The sequence below is a fragment of the Homo sapiens genome, chromosome 15, assembly GCF_000001405.40.
Source record: "Homo sapiens chromosome 15, GRCh38.p14 Primary Assembly".
NCBI lineage: Eukaryota > Metazoa > Chordata > Mammalia > Primates > Hominidae > Homo > Homo sapiens.
The window spans coordinates 32,441,914-32,461,486 of record NC_000015.10 but is presented as its reverse complement, the minus strand read 5'-3'; the positions used below and the strand labels follow the sequence as shown (position 1 = coordinate 32,461,486).

Genomic DNA, 19,573 nt, shown 5'->3' with positions numbered 1-19,573 from the left:
AGTTCATGCTGATATTTTCCCTTCCTCCCCTCTTTAGTCCTTACTATTTTTGCTTTGGTCATGTTATGCTATATTCTGTAAGCCTTTAAAAATTTTGTTGTATCATGGCAGGGGAGAATATTTTATAATTATGCTTTGTGCGTTTTATCTTCCACTCAATGAATGCTTGGTAAATATTTGTTTTATTGAGTATATGACCCTTTTCTAGCTATACCGTGAACAAAAATGTTAACTGCCTTGTACGTTAACTGCTAAGAATTTGTCAAAAGTGCAGAGATGACATCCAGAACTTGTCAGAATATTACAAAAAGGTCTCTAAGGGCATGATGGAGGTCTGTAAATTGACTTCATGTGAAAGAGTGTAAGAAGTGAAAATGTGAAGCATGACTGGAGAGCCGGAGTGATAAAGCAAGGGTCCCTTTCTCTAGATCCTTTGTAACAGTGTCATGTGACCTCTTCTAGATCATTCTGAAAGACAATGCCAGCTCGGAACCTAGGAAAGCATCCAGTGGGTTTCTGCATGTTAGGTGGTTCAAATCCTCATTAGCACCTTTGTTTTCTCTGCCTCAGTTTGCTTACAGTGATGTTCTCAGTAGCTGTAATTGCTGTCTGTCTTTGAATATTTAAGCATTTTTTTTTTTAGATCACAGGGTATATGTGCATTTTTATTTTACCAAGTGTTAGAATTTTTACTCTGCCTTTGTGGGCTCTGGGTTAGCTACTTGGCTGTTTCATCGTAAAATGATTAGCAGGAAAAACTGTGTGTGTGTGTGTGTGCGTGTGTGTGTGTGTGTGCGCGTGTGTATTTTAAGTTTCTTAATTGGGTTGGTACATGTAAACCATTTAGAACAGTGCCTGCTGCATATCACATCCCCATCAGTATTCACGTCTCTCATATTCTACCCTCACACTTGATTGATAGTTTGCTTGATTATGTATTTCTAGGTTGAGGATAATTTTACCTTAGAATTTCAAAGTCTGTGCTGTTGTCTTCTAACCAGTCGTGGTGGCGAAGCCTCATGCCATCCTGAGTTTCACTTGTTTATGCATGACTTTCTCCCTGGAAGCTTTTAGGAGTTTGTCTTTTCCTTGGTGAGCTGAAATAGCACAACAGTGTACTTAGTGTGGGTCTTTTTTCATTCATTATGCTGGGTACACCAAATGAACAGGCCTATGGATAGGCTCTTTCAAAGTTGGAGTCTTGAATCTTGTCATATTTTTGTTGTTAACTTTCTCTTTTCCATTTTATTTGTTCATTTGGAAGTGTCTGTTAATTGGATTTTAGACCTCTTGTCTTGAGTCTTATATCTCACGTTATTTCTAAATGTTTTTTAAATTTTCAGTTCTGGAATATTTTCTTATCTTTCGACTTTCAGGAAATTTTATTTGGACTGTCATAACTTTAAGTTTTGTTTCGGTTATTTATTGTTGCTTAACCAATTATCCCAAAACTTAATGGCCTAAAACTACACATCTGTCTATCTGTCACGACTGTATGGATTACCTGGGGCTAGCTGGACAGTTTTTCTGCTGGTCTCATTTGGCAGCTCTCACTGTGTGGTTAAACAGTGTCAGGGACTGGTCATCTGGATGCTCAGCTGCAGTGGAATGTCTGAGACGGCTTCTTTACCCACAGGTCTGCTGCCTTGGTAATTCTTGATGTGGCCTTTCTCTCTGCATAGCATCTCATCCTCTCGGATCTCTTCATGTGGCTTTCCTTTCTCCAAGAAGGTAGCCAATTCTTATTTTTGGCTTCCAGAAGCACAGAAATGGAGCTGCCAGGAGTTCTTAAGGCTTAGACCTGGAACAGGTCCAGTGTCATTTCTACCACATGCTATAGGTTAAAGTGAGTGTTGGGGCCAACCCAGATTGACTATGGGATGGGCCTGTCTGAGGACATGATGACAGGAGGTATGGCTCATTGGAGACCAACTCCCAAGATGGAGCATGAGTTCTAAGAACTTTTTCTTCTCTGATTATTTCTTATTCATATTGTTTTGTTTTATACATGTAATATATTCACAAGTGTCTTTATGAAGTGATTTTGATACTCTTTGTCTTCTCCCTGGCATCTCCTTGTTCTTTAATAATCTTTTTCTTAGTTTATTTTGGTCTTATTTTTCTTTTTAAAGCCTTTCCTTAAATATCTATTCTATGTTGCTTATCATTTGTAGTCTTTTTTTTTTTTTTTTTGAGACCCAGTTTCGCTCTTGTTGCCTAGGCTGGAGTACAATGATGTGATCTTGGCTCACCACAACCTCTGCCTCCAAGGTTCAAGCAGTTCTCCTGCCTCAGCCTCCCAAGTAGCTGGGATTACAGGCATGTGCTGCCACACCCAGCTAATTTGTGTATTTTTAGTAGAGATGGGATTTCTCCATGTTGGTCAGTCTGGTCTGGAACTCCCAACCTCAGGTGATCCACCCACCTCGGCCTCCCAAAGTGCGGGATTACAGACATGAGCCACCGTGCCTGACCTGTAGTCTTTTTTCCATTCCTTTATTTGTTCATTCATATTTGAGAGAGGTACTAAAAGACTGGGAGCCGAGGTGTGGTGGCTCACACCTATAATCTCAGTGCTTTGGGAGACCGAAGTGGGAGGATCACTTGAGCCCAGGAGCTCAAGACTAGTTTGGGCAACATAGTGAGACCCCATCTTTACAAAAAAAAAAAAAATAGCTAGGTGTGGTGACACCCATCTGCAGTCCCAGCTACGTGGGAGGCTGAGGCAGGAGGATTGCTTGAGCCCAGGAGGTTGAGGCTGCAGTGAGCTCTGATCATGCCACTGCATTCCTGCATTCCAACCTGGGCGAAAGAGCAAGACCCTGTCTCAAAATAAATAAATAAATAAATAAATAAAAATAAAAATAAATAAAAATTGATTGGGAGTTCTTTGTGGCCAAGACTTGTCAACTGATAGCTTTAAGGGGAATGTATGCTGATTCCTAATTGTTATCCTCCATCCCTCTATCTTGTCTCCTGTTGCAATCATAAATGATGGCTGGATGACTACTCCATTCCTCTGGATGTAAAATCTACATTCTCTTGCCTGAGGTGGATACGTTTGCTTGGGTTCTGTTTAAGGAGATGGGGCTAGCAGTGTGTTTCAGGGCCTGTGAAATGTGTTCTCTATCCGGGCTTTTGCTTAATCTCTGTTTTCAGTCTTGCCTATCAGTCCCACTGTCGGGGGTACCTCGTGTCTGAGTCTAGAACCTTTCCAGGTTGCTGTGGGACAGATTAGCCTCCTTGTTCTCAGTATCCCCCTGACCTCCACCTTTGTTGCTTTGCTCCATGAATTAACCATTTTCCATGTACTGTCATTGTCTAATGAAGATGAATTCTCTTCTGTTGGTAACCCCATTCCTTTTTTGTAATGGTGTGCTTATACAATGTTTATTCTTCACTGTATTTCTATTGGAGCCTCAGGACAAAGAGCAGATGGTGAGAATCTGTGTTCAGTGTTAAGTTTTCCTTCTGTAAGACATGTGCAACTTGTGTTTTTCACTGAATAGATCATGGACTTAATGCATATAGAGCTACTTTGTTTTTCATGATTGTGCCTTCAATTATATGTAGAAATATAATTTGTGAATTGCCTGATGAAATTTTCCTAATTTTGAATTATCTTTGCATTCCTATAATAAACACTGTTAGAATGGCTATGGTAATATTTTATTTTTGCATTTTTACTTCTGTATTAAATAAGATTATAGTTTTGTTTGTTTCCTTTAAGGCTGTTATTTCAGTATCAAGGGCATGCAGGGCTGAGTTGGGAAGCTTTACATCTTTTTTCTAAGATCTAGGATGTAGATCTGGTTTACACAGTAATTTTCAACTGCAGGAGTATTTTGCCTCCTATGGGACGTTTGGAAATATCTGGAGACATTTTTGTGGTCACAACTGGTCATGGTCGGGAGGTCTCATTGGCATTCTGTGGGTAGAGGGAATGTTACTAAATGCCCGACAACACACCAAGAGAACCCTCCACAAAGAATTATCTGGCCCAATATATCAATATTGCTGAGGATGACAAATTCTGGTTTAAATATCCAATTTGGAGGATGAGTCTTTGTCTTTTTCCTTCTTCTGCATATTGGTCTCCAGATTTCCCACTTCTTCAGTTACTTTTCGTAACTGTAGGTTCTTAAAAAAAAATGAACACTTTGGATGGGTGCGATGGCTCATGTCTGTAATCCCAGCACTTTGGGAGGCCGAGGCGGGTGGATCACGAGGTCAGGAGATAGAGACCATCCTGGCTAACATGGTGAAACCCTGTCTCTACTAAGCCAAAATACAAAAAATTAGCCAGGCGTGGTGGCGGGCGCTTGTAGTCCCAGCTACTCGGGAGGTTGAGGCAGGAGAATGTTGTGAACCCAGGAGGCGGAGCTTGCAGTGAGCCAAGATCACGCCACTGCACTCCAGCGTGGGTGACAGAGCGAGACTCCGTCTCAAAAAAAAAAAAAAAAAAAAATGAACATGTCATCCATACTTCTAAGGTGTTGTAAAGATGTGTAAAGTTTTCACTTTTTGCATCATATTCACATGTGGCTATATGCCCTTTTCTCTTCAAAGTTTTCTTTATCTTGATTACTTATCAGAGGCTTGACTGTTTTATTATCTCAGTCTTTTGAAAGAATCCTCCTTTAGTTTTATTTTTTAAATCTAGTGGTTTTTCTTTTTCCTTAGGTCTTAATTATTTCCCCCTTTTTGTTTGTTTTGCTTTTCCTAGTTTAGTGGATCAATGTAATTTAAATTGCTTTTTAAACAAACGTGTAAGGGTATACATTTTCGTTGGCTGCTGTTTGACTTCGTTGCACAAGTTTTAAAATCTATTTTTTAATAGTTTGTATTTTCTAAATTATTTTATTGCATCTTTTGTTCACATTGCTCTTACTATTAATTTTTTATTTTAATTAATTAATTAATTAATTAATTAATTGAGATGGAGTCTTGCTCTGTAGCCCAGGCTGGAGTGCAGTGGCATGATCTTGGCTCACTGCAAGCTCCACCTCGGGGGTTCATGTCATTCTCCTGCCTCAGCCTCCCAAGTAGCTGAGACTACAGCTGCCTGCCACCACATCCGGCCTTTTTTGTATTTTTAGTAGAGATGGGGTTTCACCGTGTTAGCCAGGATGGTCTCGATCTCCTGACCTCATGATCCACCCACCTTGGGCTCTCAAAGTCCTGGAATTACAGGCATGAGCCACTGCACCCAGCCCAAAAGCTTTGTGCTTTTACAGATATTAGACATGTTTCTTGTTTAAGAAAAAAAATCTTAACGAAAACGTAGGAGAATAAGAGAAACATTTTTCCAAAAAAGAGAAATCATTGTGATTATTTTATCTTATTAGAATGTTGGATAATATAGTCTGCTTCATTAATCATCAAGCATGCTATGCATTTTCCATTTTTATAGGATCTGTATCTCAGTTAAGGTAATACTGGTAATTTTTGTACTGTAATCAAAGATGAAAAATATAGGCCAAAATCATAGACCTTGCATAGAAGCTGGATAATGAAGACAGCTATGGAGAAAAACATAGATACACACACATGGACACACATATATATAAAGTATACACACATATATTTTTTAAAGTTTTAAAGCTTTTAAAGCAAAAGCCAGCCCCTCTTCTCTTCCAGAGTGGGAGGCCTCTCCCCTCTCTTAGAGTGGGTGGGGAGAGCGGTTGCCATGGGCAGCTTTCCTTGTGAGCCACAGGGCCCTCTGGACACGCTGCTGTCTGGCCACGCCCCCTTTCCCTTTCATCTTTCTCATTGACCAATGGGCTTGGAGCATTAAGGCCACGCCCCTATTCCGCATTCTACTGGGGCCCTGGTTACGCCTCCTCTGGCTCAGTCACACAGCTGCCTGGTAGGTGACTGGAGGCCTTGATCGGTTCTTATTGGGATTTTGCTGCTGTGGCCCCAACCCTTCCTCCCTCCCCACCCTGCAATGGCAGAAGAAACTCAACACAACAAATTGGCTGCAGCCAAGAAAAAGGTAAAAACGCACTAGGTCATAGCCCCTCAACCCAGCCACAGATCCCCTCTGATGACAAGACCCCTGCCAGAGTCTATATGACTCCTGAGGCACACTGGACTGGTCCCCCCAACCCCGGTGCCTTGGGCTACCCCCACCAAAGTTTTGTCAGTCAGCCCCACCCCTTCAGAAAGCAGCCCAGTCCTTGCCCTCGCCAATCACCCCAGGGTGACTTTGGGTGGGTGACTCCTGGGGCTTCCCGCTCCATTACTGGGCTGTCATCTCCTGCCGCCCCAAGCTTGATCTCCGTGGGCTCTTTGGGCTCTCATCTCCAAGGAGCCAGGCCCCACCCTCGCCAGTCATCCTTGGGTGACTTTGGGCTGGTGACTCCTGGGACTCCCTGCTGCAGACTGTGCCCTCCCCTCCTGCTGCCTCAAGGTCGACCTCCCTGGGTTCTTTGTGCTGGCGTCTCCAAGGAGCTGGGTCCCAACCCTGTGCTTCCCTCCCCCATCGTGGAGCAGCGACTTGGACATGGTGCTGACATGGTCCCTCCCCCCGACCAGGAGGAGTGGAATGTTGTGATGTCACAGTCCACCTAGTAACTGCCGTTACTGCAAGACTGGCCTTTGACCTTACGACCCAGTCCCCTAAGCGTTCTCACCCCGTTTCTGGTTCCTCTGGTCACAGCACAAATTTCCAGCTGGAAGGGGAATGGAGACTATGGGACCTAGGAGCAAGAGGTTCCAGGCTGCCTCACTCCCTTACAGATGTTGACGGTGGGAAAAGCCTACACTTCCCCCATGAACTCAAAACATTGACAGTATCTCTGGGTGGCAATGAGAGAATGGGTTTGATTTGGTTTTCTCCCAGGCTTCTACTTTCCAGAGAGATTTTAACATTTTTTTCTGAGTTCTCCACCTCATATTCTAATTCTCCATGGTTCTGGGACCAGACTCTCCTTCAGTCAGTGGTCTCTGAAGTGAGATTTGCTCATCTTCTGTGGAATAGAACTTGGGAAACTGAACTTGACACCTTGAATCTTCCTCATATTATCTCAACCTTGGGTACTTTGAGTGCCACAGGATAAATGTGGGACATCTTTCTGAAGCATCAGTTTCCCTTGATTCTCTTGAGATCAAGAGAAAAAACATGAATGTACTTAGGGAGGACAGTCACATAGGTTTCTAAGAGTATACCAGACCTCTCTCTGAAATGAGGCTTGGGTTGTCCTCTTTCTGATAAATTCTGATTTAAGAGAAAGGCTGCCTTCTGCCATGAGGACACATTGATATAAAAGTTTGAGAGGTACTGGTGCACTTCTTCACACTAACAGACGTGTGAGGATGTATGACTAAACCACATGGCATACAGTTCCTGCCTACTTAATGTTTACTTTTCTACCTCTGCCTCTGGTTTTGGTCCCTGGCAGCTGCTGATTCTTGGCAAAACCTCAGAGCTTGGAGTCAGAAGACTGAGTCTCAAAGTTCCAGTATTGCCTTTTTCTTTTTTTTTTCTAGCCATGATATCAATCCTTCTCAGTCACTAAATGAGTGTGACAACACCTTGTACAGTTGTTGGTGTCATTAAATCAGATGGTGTGTAAGTGTATTTTGTAAAAACTGTAAAGGAGGTTGTGGCTGTAGGGGCTGACGGTTCTCATGAATATTACTGCTCTTCTTTCCAACAGTTAAAAGAATATTGGCAGAAAAACAGACCTAGAGTTCCAGCAGGAGTGAACAGGAACAGGAAAACAAATGGCAGTATCCCTGAGACAGCCACTTCCGGTGGTTGCCAGCCACCTGGGGATGTGAGTCTTGGCTGACCAGGCTTCTGGGGACAGGGGGCCCAAGGGGCAATAGAGGGTAATTCTTAAGATTGTGGATGGACTGCTGGGTACTGGTTAAGAATTCTGGCTTTAGCCGGGTGTGGTGGCCCATGCCTGTAATCCTAGCACATTGGGAGGCCAAGACAGGCGGATCATGAGGTCAGGAGATCGAGACCATCCTGGTTAACACGGTGAAACCCTGTCTCTACTAAAAATACAAAAACATTAGCCACGCGTGGTGGCGTGTGCCTGTAGTCCCAGCTACTCAGAAGGCTGAGGCAAGAGAATGGTGTGAACCTGGGAGGTGGAGCTTGCAGTGGCCAAGATTATGCCACCGCACTCCAGCCTGGTGAAAGAGCAAGACTCTGTCTCAAAAAAAAAAAAAAAGGAATTCTGGGTTTGAATCCTGCCTCTCCATCTGCTCTGCTAGGGATATGATTTAGGGCAAGTTGCTAGACCTCATTGGGCCTCTCTTTTCACATCTGTATAATAGAGGTGTTATTGTTTCACTTCCATTTGTGAAGTTTAAATGAGATTTGTTATTGTTGTTTTTATGTTAATCCCTAGTACATGGCCTGCTGTAAACACTCAGGACACCCAGGATATGGTTTGATTTTCCTCATCCCCAGTCTCAAGGGGAAACCAGGACAAAGAGAACAGCCACTTGCCATCAGGAGTCACTGAAGGGGCCCCAGGATGGGATGGTGGGGAGATAAGAACCATGAGAGAAGTTGGCACAAAGGAGTTATGGGACAAAAGGTCCAAGATAGGCAGAAAAGAAAATGTTGCAGTTGATGGGGAAGAAAGGAAGTCAGAGGGCTCAGACACTGTGGGGGACAGAACATCTCCATGTGCACTCTCATCTCTTGTAGTCAGCAACAGGTTTCCACAGGGAAGGCCCTACATCATCTGCTACCCTGAAAGATCTGGAGGTAAGAGGCTCTGGGCGGAGGTGCAGTGACCCTTCGGGTCAACCCTCCAACCTCCTCCTCCAGGTGGGACTGGGTGCCCCTCTGCCAGCTGAGACAGCCCACACACCCCAGCCCTAACGATCATTCTCTCTACCTCTCCCCCCACTCCTGCTCCACCTCCTCCTCTCTGCATGCACCTCAGAGCCCGTGCCAAGAACGAGCAGTAGTCCTGGATTCAACGTCCGTAAAAATCAGTCGACTGAAGAACACCATCAAATCTTTGGTAAGAGTCCGGTGGGGTCCCCTGATTCCACGCTGCCAATCCTGGGCTCCAGTTTCCCCTTGGGGCCCTGAAGAAAGGGGCTGGGGGTCCCTGGTGCCCGGGACAAATAGGGAGCTTGGGTGCCCAGGCCTCACCTGGAGGGACCCCAGAGCATGCAGCATAGCTCTTCTTTTGCTGCCCTCTTTGCCGACTCTCTCCTCTCCAGACACCCCTGCTCGAGTCCTTGCTACACACGCCCTGGGGTTGTTGCCTCTTGGGGAAGTGCTAGCCTGACTGGTTGTCAAGGGCCCCGTATTTCTGCCATGACTCAGTCCCTAATTTGCTCTTTGATTCTGGACAAGCCACCTCTCCTTTTTGGGCTCGTGTTTCCAGAGGAGGTAGTGAGTATCAAAGGTCTCTGTTAGCTCTCGAGTCTGAGATTTAAAGGCCCCCGGGAATGGAAACCTCAGGGCTAAGGGCTCCTGTCTGTCCTTTTCCATCCTATATCTGCTGTGAAGAACCGTACCTGGCCCATACGTGCTCAGTAAGTGTTTATTGAATGAACCCACTTTTCTAAATCACAAGCTGCCAGAAGGAGGGGCCTTTCTGAAACTCCATCTCTAGAGGTTTATGTTGCTGTCCTCTCAAGAGATTCCAGATTCAGACTGAGTTCTGTGGCTGTGGGCAAAAGCCAACAAAGACCCAAATCCTCTGTCCTTGGGAGCTTGAGGAGAGTTTACCGGTTCGTGTTCCCATTATGTCTGAGAACTTTGCCTTTAAAATCCATTCCTGGCCCCTGCCTACCGCTTCCTGATCTGGGGAATAGAGTTGAGGGGGCCACCCTCCATCACCTTATTTGACTCTCCCCACAGAAACAACAGAAGAAACAAGTGGAACATCAGCTGGAAGAAGTAACGTGATTTCGTTTCCTCGCGACATGACTGCTGGGTTTGGGGGGCACTCAGACATACAGGCCCCAGTCTCGTCTCACCCACTCCCAGCTTGGGGAAGAAGGCTCACCCCTCAGATTCCACCCCATCCCCACAGGGCCCCTGATAACCTGGTCCCATGGGTGGGCCTGTCCTGGGGCATTGGTGGCATTCTGGGGGCATGTCTCTTGCTGTGCCATCTCTGCCTCCCCCTGGTAAGAGCTCTGTCTTCCTCTTCCTACAGGAAAAGAAAGCAAACAACGAGAGACAGAAAGCCGAAAGGGAGCTAGAGGTGAGTGGAGGGTGTGCAGTTTCCTCCTGTCCTCCGGAGAATGTTTCTTTCCTTCTCTTTCAGCACTTGCTTGGCTTTTCTCCCAAAGGTTCAAATCCAGACATTGATCATACAGAAAGAGGAACTAAATACGGACCTGTACCACATGGAACGTTCTCTCAGATACTTTGAAGGTGGGAATCTGGGCACCCTGTCATCCTTCAACCTGGCACTTTGACAGGTCTTCAGGAGGAGTCCTTTGGGCCCCATCTCAACTCTCTCATTACAGAAGAGTCCAAGGACCTGGCTGTCCGCCTGCAACATTCATTGCAGTGTAAAGGAGAGTTAGAGAGCGCTCTGTCTGCTGTCATCGCCACAGAGAAGAAGAAGGCAAACCAGGTGAGTCCAGCCACCTGCCCCATCCCCTGGGAGCCTGGTTTTGCAGATGGAGGAGTGAGCCTAAAGGTCCCTTCTGCAGGATGGCGTGTCCTGCCCAGAAGGCAGCATGGCCATTTCTTGCTACTTTTTTGTATGGTTTTTAGTGGCAGCCTGGGGCCGAGTCAGCTGCTGTGGGTGAGTTGGGGGGTACTGTGGGGAGTGAGCACTGGACGCAGAGCTTGGAGGCCAAGTGCCTGCCCCGCCCTTACCTGGCTGTGGTCTTGGGCAAGTCCTAGGTGGGGTATTGGGTACTTGTACTGTGAAGGTACAGAAGAGTACCTTTAGTATGTTACCATTTCTGTAGAAAGAGGAAACGCGTGCATGTGTGTGTGTGTGTGTGTGTGTGTGTGTGTGTACATACTGTGATAATATACATAAAACATGTCTGCAAGGGTTCATAAAAAATTCAGGAGAGAGAACAAGATGGCTGGGAGATACTTCCCTTCTGTACCTTCTGAGTTTTGGACTATGTGAATGTATCATCCTGTCAAAAAGTGAACAAAAGATTAATTTTCCCCTTCCTATCTGTGCCCCCATCCCCAGCAAGAAAAATGGGCTTAGAGAATTGGATAGACCTGGGTGTTTATATCCCAGCTCTGCCTAAGTGAACTTAGGCAAGCACTTAACCTCAAATACTCCATGTTTTTTCATCTCCACAATAGAGGGAATCATAGTAACTGTCTCCTATGGTGGTTGCGAGGATTAAATGGGATTGTTAGCACGGTACCTGGTGAAGCATTCCACAAAGGTTCAAACAGTGGTAATAATGACAATAATAACAATAGCAATATTATCTGATCTCTCTGGGCCTCTGTTAGCCAGCTATAAACTCAGTCTCATTCCCTGTCCGTTCCAACTTTACTGTGTTCTTTTAAAAACCAGACCACGGGCTTGGAAATGCCTTGATCTTTACTGACCGAGTTGTATATTGGGCCTAGCCCTAGCCCTGTTAAGGGGCACTGTGTGGAAATGCCCAGGCTCTCCAGATTGAAACTTCTCACTCTTCACCATCCAGTTGTCCAGCTGCAGCAAAGCACATACAGAGTGGGAGTTAGAGCAGTCCCTACAGGACCAGGCACTGCTGAAAGCGCAGCTGACACAGGTGAGGTTTTCCGAGGGAGGGATGTGGAAGGACGATGACCCCAGGTGGCCAGGAGCAGGTGAGGACCAGTGACAGCCCTTCCTAACTTCTGTGCCCATTCTTGCAGTTGAAGGAGTCATTTCAACAACTCCAATTAGAAAGAGATGAGTGTGCTGAACATATAGAAGGAGAGAGGGCCCGGTGGCATCAGAGGATGAGTAAAATGTCGCAGGAGGTGAGATCTGACCCTTCAGCCCCCCCACATTAGATAGGTCACTGGATCTTTCTGGGCATCTGTAAAATGGGAATAGTAGAGCCAGAGGTGGTCATGGGTCTGGGCTTTGTGGAGGTGGGGGCAGAGAGGGAGAGGGCAGCCTGTCCAGCCTCCAGCCCCTCTCTCCAAGGCCCTTTCCCCTTGTGCTTTGGGCAGATTTGCACATTAAAGAAAGAGAAGCAGCAAGATATGCGTCGGGTAGAGGAGCTGGAGAGGAGCTTGTCCAAACTCAAAAACCAGATGGGTAAGATGGGGCTGGCATGACCTGGGAGCAGGACTGGCATCAGAGGGCTGTGAGGGTGGCTTAGAGTGCCCCAGGGAGGTGGGTGGATGGAAGGGCTTTGAGGCAGAGGGAAAGAGATCTGTGCCAGGAGACGGCGAGTCTTGTCATCTCAATGAGTCTCAGTGTCTCAGTGTCCCCATCAGCAAAGAGGGCCCGTTGCCAGCCACCCACAGTGCTCTTTCTCTGAAAGTCCTTTGGAAGACTGGCTACCATCTGGGTGCGAGGAATCATTAGCAGTGAGGCCAAGTTTGAGGAGCCTGAGAGGAGCTGTGCGCCAAGAGGAGGGTTTTTCTTTTCCGAGAATCCAGAGGCCCTTATTATCTGCTTCCTTTGTCAGCTGAACCCTTGCCCCCGGAGCCCCCAGCAGTGCCCTCTGAGGTGGAGCTGCAGCACCTGAGGAAGGAACTAGAGAGAGTGGCAGGAGAGCTCCAGTCCCAGGTCAAAAACAATCAGCACATAAGTCTCCTGAACCGGCGACAAGAAGAGAGGATTCGGGAACAGGAAGAGAGGCTTCGGAAGCAGGAGGAGAGGCTTCAGGAGCAGCACGAGAAGCTTCGGCAGCTGGCCAAGCCACAGAGCGTCTTCGAGGAGCTGGTGCGTTGCCCCAACTGGGGAGCCTGCCCTCCTCCCTAGCCCTCCGGGCCTTTGTTTCCCCACCTCTAAAATGGGGCAGTGTAGCCCTCGCGTGAAAGGTTACTTCTAAAGGCACCTGTGAGCCAGGTGGCTGTGGGAGAGAGGGGGTGATTTTTCTAACCTGCCTCCAGCCTTCCCAGTGCCATGGGAGGCAGACACCAAGTTCTGGGGTCTCCAGCTGCAGTGGGTGGCTGCTGATTGCTTCTCTCTGTCCAGAACAATGAGAACAAGAGCACACTGCAGTTGGAGCAGCAAGTAAAGGAGCTACAGGAGAAGCTTGGCGAGGTGAAGGAGACGGAAACCTCCACCCCATCCAAGAAGGGCTGGGAGGCGGGCAGCAGCCTCTTGGGAGGGGAGGTGCCAGGTCAGAGGCAGCTTCCAGCCTGGGGGCTGGTGACCACAGCACCCCGCAGGGCAGTCCTGCGACTGTTTCTCGCTTCCTGCCTCTGACTTTTAAAGGTGGGTAGCCCTGGGCTCCTCTCAGGTCTGGACATCATCATCCCAGCTAGAGGCATGGAGCCCCCAATCACAGGGGAAGAGACAGTGCTATAACAGGCTCCTTATACCAGGTGCAGTGGCTCATGCCTATAATCCCAGCACTTTGGGAGGCTGAGGCAGAAGAATCACTTGAGGTCGGGAGTTTGAGATCAACCTGGCCAATGTGGTAAAACCTCATCTCTACTAAAATTAAAAAAAAAAAAAATTAGCAGGGCATTGTGGCGCATGCCTGTAATTCCACCTACTCGGGAGGCTGAGGCACGAGAATTGCTTCAACCCAGGAGGTGGAGGTTGCAGTGAGCTGAGATTGCACCACTGCACTCCAGCCTGGGCCACAGAGTGACACTCTTGTCTGAAAACAAAACAAAAAGACTCCTTAGATTGAAACTGGATTCCAGCCTCGGTTCCACTGGTCACCATTCAAGTACTTTGCATCTCTAAGTCTCTGTTTCTTTAACTTCAAAGGGAAGTTAGCATTTTCCTTACAGAGGTGCTGAGGATTAAATGAGAAGAGGGTATGAGATTTGAGGCTGGGGAAGGAGGCATGGGGTTCTAGGAAAGGGAGGCAGTCACTTAGGCCTGGAGTAAGGGGACAGGGGCCTGGGTAGCTGACAGAGCCCCACAGTGCCCTCGCTACCCTATTAATGGGCCCAGAATCTGGAAACCAGCCACCACGTGCCCTCACACCCAGGGTCTTCCTGCAGGTGGAGCTGAAGAGCCAAGAGGCTCAGAGTCTGCAGCAGCAGCCAGACCATTACCTGGGTCACCTGCAGCAGTACGTGGCCACCTATCAGCAGCAGGTGGCCGCCTATCAGCAGCTGACCTGTGAGAAGGAGGCGCTGTACAGGCAGTGACTGCAACAGACCCAGCTAATGAACCAGCTGCAGCAGTAGGAAGCTTGGGGCAAAGCAGTGGCCGAGATGGCCTGCCAAAAGTTGCAGGAGACCCAGGGGAGGGAGCTGCCGAGGATGGGGCTGTGAGGGGGACGACCTGGCAAACTCCATCCCTTCTCACTCTTTCCTGGCCCCTTAGGAGCACCTGGAAGCGGCCAGCCAGCAGAACCAGCAGCTAACGGCCCAGCTGAGCCTCATGGCTCTCCCTGGGGAAGGTACGGGAGACCGCTCAGAGGAAGAGGAGAGAGCCCCAGGAGGAAGGGGGGACTGCTAGCAGCATAGGATTGAGGAGTTGGAAGAGACCTTTAGAGCAGCTGGTCATTATGCCGACCGGGTGCCTGCACTAAGTTCGGCATCAGTGTGGTGACCTCCTGTGAGCGGGCGGTCACCAAGTTGCCTAAGGGTGGCTGAACTGGCCAAGGTCAGAAAGGGAGCAGGTCAGAACTCCCACATCGACCAGTAGTGGGAGTGTGCCTGGGCGGAATAGCAAGATCTTGATTCTTAAAAGTAAAAATAAAGAACAACAGCTCATTCCTCTCTGGGGAGGGGCTGGCTCAGGGTTACACAGTGAGGGTGGAGGTAGAGGTGGGCCCACAGTACCTCCCTTGTTGGGTTGTCTGAAGACCCCTCTGGCCACCCCCCACAGGACACGGAGGAGAACATCTGGACAGTGAGGGGGAGGAGGCACCTCGGCCCATGCCGAGTGTCCCAGAGGACCCGGAGAGCAGGGAGGCCATGGTGAGCCTGACTCCCCCCTGCACCCATTTTGCCACCTTTCTCTGTGGTCCCTCCAAGACCCCTTTATGCTCTTCGTTTCCCTGCCTTCTGATTTCTCTGGACCCTCACCCCTTCCGAGAGCCAGTGGTCAGACACCATTTCACCTGTGGCCAACAGGTGCACTCTCTGAGGCCCCAAGGGAAGGGGCTGCGCTCCACCTCTCTGCCCCATTTCTTCTGTGTATGCCCCTAGAAGAATGCTCACATCTTGCCCTCAGGTGGCATTTTTCAAGTCCGCTGGAGCTAGTGTCCAGGAGAAGCAGGCACAGTTACAAGAGCAGGTGAAAGAGCAGAGGGTGTGCTGCCAGCGCCTGGCTCACCCGGTGGCCTCGGCCCAGAAGGAGCCAGAGGCAGCCAGAGGCCCTGGAGCCCCAGGGCCTGGGGGCGAGTCTGTGAGTGGGGAGACCCACTGGGCCCTGCAGGAAGTCACGGAGAAGCTGGCCCATGCCAGGACTCACCTCCGCCTTCTCCATGACTTGAAAATGCCACCTGAGGGCAGGTCGCTGCCGAGATGTGACTGCAATATTTTGTCTCCAGAGCAGCTTTATGGACCACCTGAAGGAGAAGGCAGACCTGAGTGAGCTGGTGAAAAAACAAGAACTTCGCTTCATTCAATACTGGCAAGAGAGATGCCATCAGTGAGTGGGAGGCCAGGGCACGGCAGGGGGAGCTACAGAGCCATCAGAGGGGCCCCAGAATCTGAGCCCTGTCCTCCCGCAGGAAAATCCATCACCTTTTATCAGAACCAGGGGGCCGTGCCAAAGATGCAGCACTGGGAGGAGGACACCATCAGGCTGGAGCTCAGGGAGGAGATGAAGGTAGGGTGTGCAACATCTCTGTGGGGGTGGGGGTGGGGGTGGGTGTGAGGGTGGGCGCAGGCAGCGGCATGGCAGCTGAGCACCCCTCCCTCCAGGTGAAGCTGCTGGAGCTGCAGCAGATGGTATTGCGGCTTACAGCAACTACAACAATGGGCACAGAAAATTCCTGGCCGCTGCCCACAACTCTGCTGATGAGCCCGGTCCAGGAGCCCCAGCCCCCCAGGAGCTTGGGGCTGCAGACAAGCATGGTGGTGAGTAGAGCCCTCAGGTGGGGTGGGTAGGCAGGAAGAGGGGGGCTCCCACTGTGCTCAGATCCCCGCCTCCCTCTCTCCAAAGATCTTCGTGAGGTGACCCTCACCTCCTCTGCCCAAGGAGAGGCCAGGGAGGATCCTCTCCTTGACAAGCCTACTGCACAGCCGATCGTGCAGGACCACCAGGAGCACCCAGGCTTGGGCAGCAACTGCTGTGTGCCATTATTTTGTTGGGCTTGGCTGCCAAGAAGAAGGAGATAAACATCACCATCATCAAACAGCTGCTCAAGAAATTTTTAAATAAGAAACCAAGTTATGGGGTTAATCTCCTACACAATTCATTTACTTCCTTTGAATGTTAGACTCACTCATGATTATTTGTGTTTCTAATTTATAGTTTAAGTTTATTTGTAAAAAGTTAAAAGAGAGTGGGTGTCTGTGGCTCTCACTGATGTTCACTCTGGCATCCTTTAGCATTTTTCTTTTTTAATTTCATAATTGTAGGTCATTAGCGTGCATATCGAGTTTGCCCTTACGTGGTGGGAGTTCAAACACACAAAGACCCACTCTTTGCCCAAAACTGTTCTCTTTGGTTTGGAATAGGCTGCCATGCTTTTTTAATGTTATTGCAGCATGTATATTCACTACAGCATTCAGACAAAATTTGCCTATGTTCTGCTGTTGTTTGATGTAATCTTAATCACAGTGAGCTCTTCCTTAGCTCAATATGTAGTTTGCCCCCAAGTGTGCACTGTTTATTACTTTGTAATACGCCACTATGAGTACTGACATTTAGAGTTGTTTAAAGGCCAAGAATTGGAAACAGCCTTTCCTCCATTTTCTGTGTATTGGTGATGGGAGTGATAACCTTTTGGGGGAGCTTTTTAAATCTCACAGAAGAGGAAAGTGGCCTCCTCTGGCAGGTATGTGCAAGATAGAGTGTGTTTCATCTCTTCCGGTGCCAGGAATTAGCGGTGTATTATGGTGGTGCCCTTAGGATTTGTATGTGCTCTGGGCTCATGAAGATATTGCATCATGAGCTGCAGCAGTTGCACTCTTTTTCGATGACCTAAAAAGGGCTTATTTCTGAGGAATGAAAGGTTCCCATCGTTGACTGTGGATGTGGAAAACCTTTCCTAGCTTAGAGCATTTGTATCTACAATACATTTTAAAGTCAGAGTTCATGTTACCTGTTTTAATCACATGACTACATGCCCCAGTACACAAAAGGGCACTGGTTGGCATTCTTCTTAATGTATTTAGTGAAGATCATAAGAAATCCTTTACGAGTTCAAATGTCCCTGGAACAGGCATACAGGCTCTAGTCAAGAATGAATTAGAGTGAAGGAAAGCTGTGTGACTCCTGGCATTCCTCTCTGTTCACGGAGATTCTTTGAGGCTTGAAGATTGATTTTACCATCTAGACCTCTTTGGCTAATACCTATTCTTCAACCACCTTGGTTACTCTGACATAGGAATTTACTTCTTTTTCTTTGAATGGAAAACACTTTAAAAAAATAGAAACATTCTTATAAACTAATATATGTGAGATAGTTGAAACAAAAAGGAGTTTTAGTAGATGGTATTATACTATCTTTGAAAATCAAGGAGAAGTTTATGAAACTTAAAATGTGTACAAACTGCAGTGCAATCTACTGTTGTTCGTGAATGTCAATGTATTATCAGGAAACGTGTCTATACAACCACAGAGTTATATTTTCTCACAAACTTCTTTACAAAGTGAAATATGTTTTTGTACCTCTGGGTTTCTGTTCGGGACATATTTTGTGCAATATTTATGTGATTGTGCCTATGCATGATGAATGAATGCATTTCAGTTATGTATTGCCTAAATCGTAACTTGATGATGCTTGGGAAAGACTCAACAGTTAAAACTTCATGAAGTTCTAATGTCTGTGTTCCAAAACACATCACATTGTTAGGATGCAGGGAGATAGGTGTGTGTGCTCCCTGCGGTGGGGATTTCTAGTTACTAGATCATCTCCATTTTTAGCATTTGGCATCCTCATGATACTTCTATAAATATGACATTAACAGGAGAGCAACAATACGATTTTACCGATGGAATAACAGATTTGCTGGCATTCACTGAAAGAGTGCAAATATTCGGTCCTTGTGACTTCCACTGACTCTTCCAAATTTTATGAATGTATCAATGTATTAGATAAACCCAGTTTCAGAATGATAAAGAAAAAATCTTAGACCAAATAATGCGGCTAATTAACAGTGGTACGATTTGTAGCCCGTGGGTTTAAAATGCACTTAAAGTCCTGTTCTCGCCTTTTATTTTCTGAACTTGCCGCTTTTGCATTCTTTGAGTTCAGTTTAAAGACAGTTACTTTAAGAGCATTTTAAACCCTCGGGCTAGAAATCGGACCACTGTTAATCAGCCACATTATTTGGTCTAACGTTTTTTCTTTTATCATTCTGAAACTGGGTTTATCTAATACATTGATAAATTATTGCAAAGGTACTTTTATCGTTGAAATCACTTCACTTTTACCCTGATAAATATCAGTGACTAGGAATGACCTTCGGATAGCGTTTAGCATCTGTAACCAATCTGACAATAATGTGTTCATGAGGTGCCTATGGATTAAATCACACACTGGCATATTTAAGCTGAAGGTCAGTCTGGAAAATAAATTTACTATATTGACTGAAATACCACTCTTTGTGTAGGTATTTGTCATATATTTAAGAAAAAGCTAAAAAGAATGGAAATTGTATGACAATAACTCAAGTCTTTCTCCAAAGTGCATGCAGTCTTTTGCGATACCTCATTCAGCCGAGTATTTGTGCTCTTCCTCATTCAGTATAAGGCAGCTTTCAGTTTGCTTAGAAGGCAACATTGGAATGTTAGAGTTCATCAGAAACATAGAATTTTAAACTGTGAGTTCCACTGAATACATTTTGATTTCTGTAGGAAGAATCAAAATACCTATTTAAAGATGGCAATGTATAATAATCATTTTAAAAGTATTTGATTAAACCTGATAATTTTCCAGAAATGAAAAAAAAAATCAGCTCTAAAACCAAAGCTGATTTTAGAAAATTTGAAAATGTAAATCAGCCCTATCCATAATATAGTTTCTCTAAAACTTTATTTTAAAGAGTTATTTTAAAATAATATAACTATTAAAAAATGTAACTGCTATCTTAATGTTCTGAAATAATTTAAAACATTTTAAAATATGAATACTGTAGTATAAAAGAAAGAAATGGTGGGAACGAAAAGCAGAGAAAGAAATGCCAATTCCAGTCCAAAGTTTTATTTGCCAAGTTTTCTTAGAATGAATTTTACCAGTTTATGAATTATTGTAAAGAGAATGTGTCGTGGAAATACTGAAAGATTTTTCCCTAGAGTGGCCTTATTGACTGCTGGTGTGATGCCACTGTAATGTAATAAATTATTAAGTTGTTTCAATGTGT

General features: G+C 46.4%; 1 protein-coding gene, 1 long non-coding RNA gene and 2 pseudogenes across 6 annotated transcripts in view, besides 1 other annotated feature; 3 read left to right on the top strand and 1 right to left on the bottom strand.

The window, feature by feature from the left end:
- Positions 1 to 4,963, bottom strand: part of LOC124903456 (uncharacterized) — an 11,925-nt gene extending 6,962 nt beyond the window's left edge. The window contains exon 1 of the long non-coding RNA XR_007064570.1: positions 963 to 4,963. This is a non-coding gene — a long non-coding RNA (uncharacterized LOC124903456). The remainder of the gene's footprint in view (positions 1 to 962) is intronic.
- Positions 1 to 19,573, top strand: part of GOLGA8O (golgin A8 family member O) — a 20,071-nt gene extending 498 nt beyond the window's left edge. Inside the window, exons 1-19 of one of the 5 annotated variants that reach the window (NM_001277308.1) lie at positions 5,853 to 5,998; positions 7,665 to 7,784; positions 8,675 to 8,734; positions 8,916 to 8,996; positions 9,848 to 9,886; positions 10,149 to 10,196; positions 10,285 to 10,369; positions 10,465 to 10,574; positions 11,629 to 11,715; positions 11,822 to 11,929; positions 12,125 to 12,212; positions 12,589 to 12,845; positions 13,101 to 13,169; positions 14,415 to 14,490; positions 14,922 to 15,013; positions 15,589 to 15,689; positions 15,772 to 15,869; positions 15,965 to 16,120; positions 16,206 to 19,573. In NM_001277308.1, coding sequence (NP_001264237.1) covers positions 5,951 to 5,998; positions 7,665 to 7,784; positions 8,675 to 8,734; positions 8,916 to 8,996; positions 9,848 to 9,886; positions 10,149 to 10,196; positions 10,285 to 10,369; positions 10,465 to 10,574; positions 11,629 to 11,715; positions 11,822 to 11,929; positions 12,125 to 12,212; positions 12,589 to 12,845; positions 13,101 to 13,169; positions 14,415 to 14,490; positions 14,922 to 15,013; positions 15,589 to 15,689; positions 15,772 to 15,869; positions 15,965 to 16,120; positions 16,206 to 16,381 — 1,899 coding nt within the window. In that variant the 5' untranslated portion in view covers positions 5,853 to 5,950 and the 3' untranslated portion in view covers positions 16,382 to 19,573. Of the gene's footprint in view, positions 1 to 5,852; positions 5,999 to 6,583; positions 6,754 to 7,664; positions 7,785 to 8,674; positions 8,735 to 8,915; positions 8,997 to 9,847; positions 9,887 to 10,148; positions 10,197 to 10,284; positions 10,370 to 10,464; positions 10,575 to 11,628; positions 11,716 to 11,821; positions 11,930 to 12,124; positions 12,213 to 12,588; positions 12,846 to 13,100; positions 13,170 to 14,086; positions 14,272 to 14,414; positions 14,491 to 14,921; positions 15,014 to 15,588; positions 15,690 to 15,771; positions 15,870 to 15,964; positions 16,121 to 16,205 lie in introns of those variants that run through there. The other 4 variants (XM_047433006.1, XM_024450042.2, XM_011521988.4 and 1 more) reach the window with 4 other exon arrangements.
- LOC100289543 (uncharacterized) lies at positions 6,050 to 6,573 on the top strand (annotated as a pseudogene).
- Positions 14,330 to 14,831: an enhancer, noted in NCBI's record as "H3K4me1 hESC enhancer chr15:32738857-32739358 (GRCh37/hg19 assembly coordinates)". NCBI's record gives its function as "activates a minimal SCP1, AML or CMV promoter by ChIP-STARR-seq in naive H9 embryonic stem cells {active_cell/tissue: H9 hESC(naive)}" and the evidence as "EXISTENCE:reporter gene assay evidence [ECO:0000049][PMID:30033119]".
- RN7SL539P (RNA, 7SL, cytoplasmic 539, pseudogene) lies at positions 14,523 to 14,813 on the top strand (annotated as a pseudogene).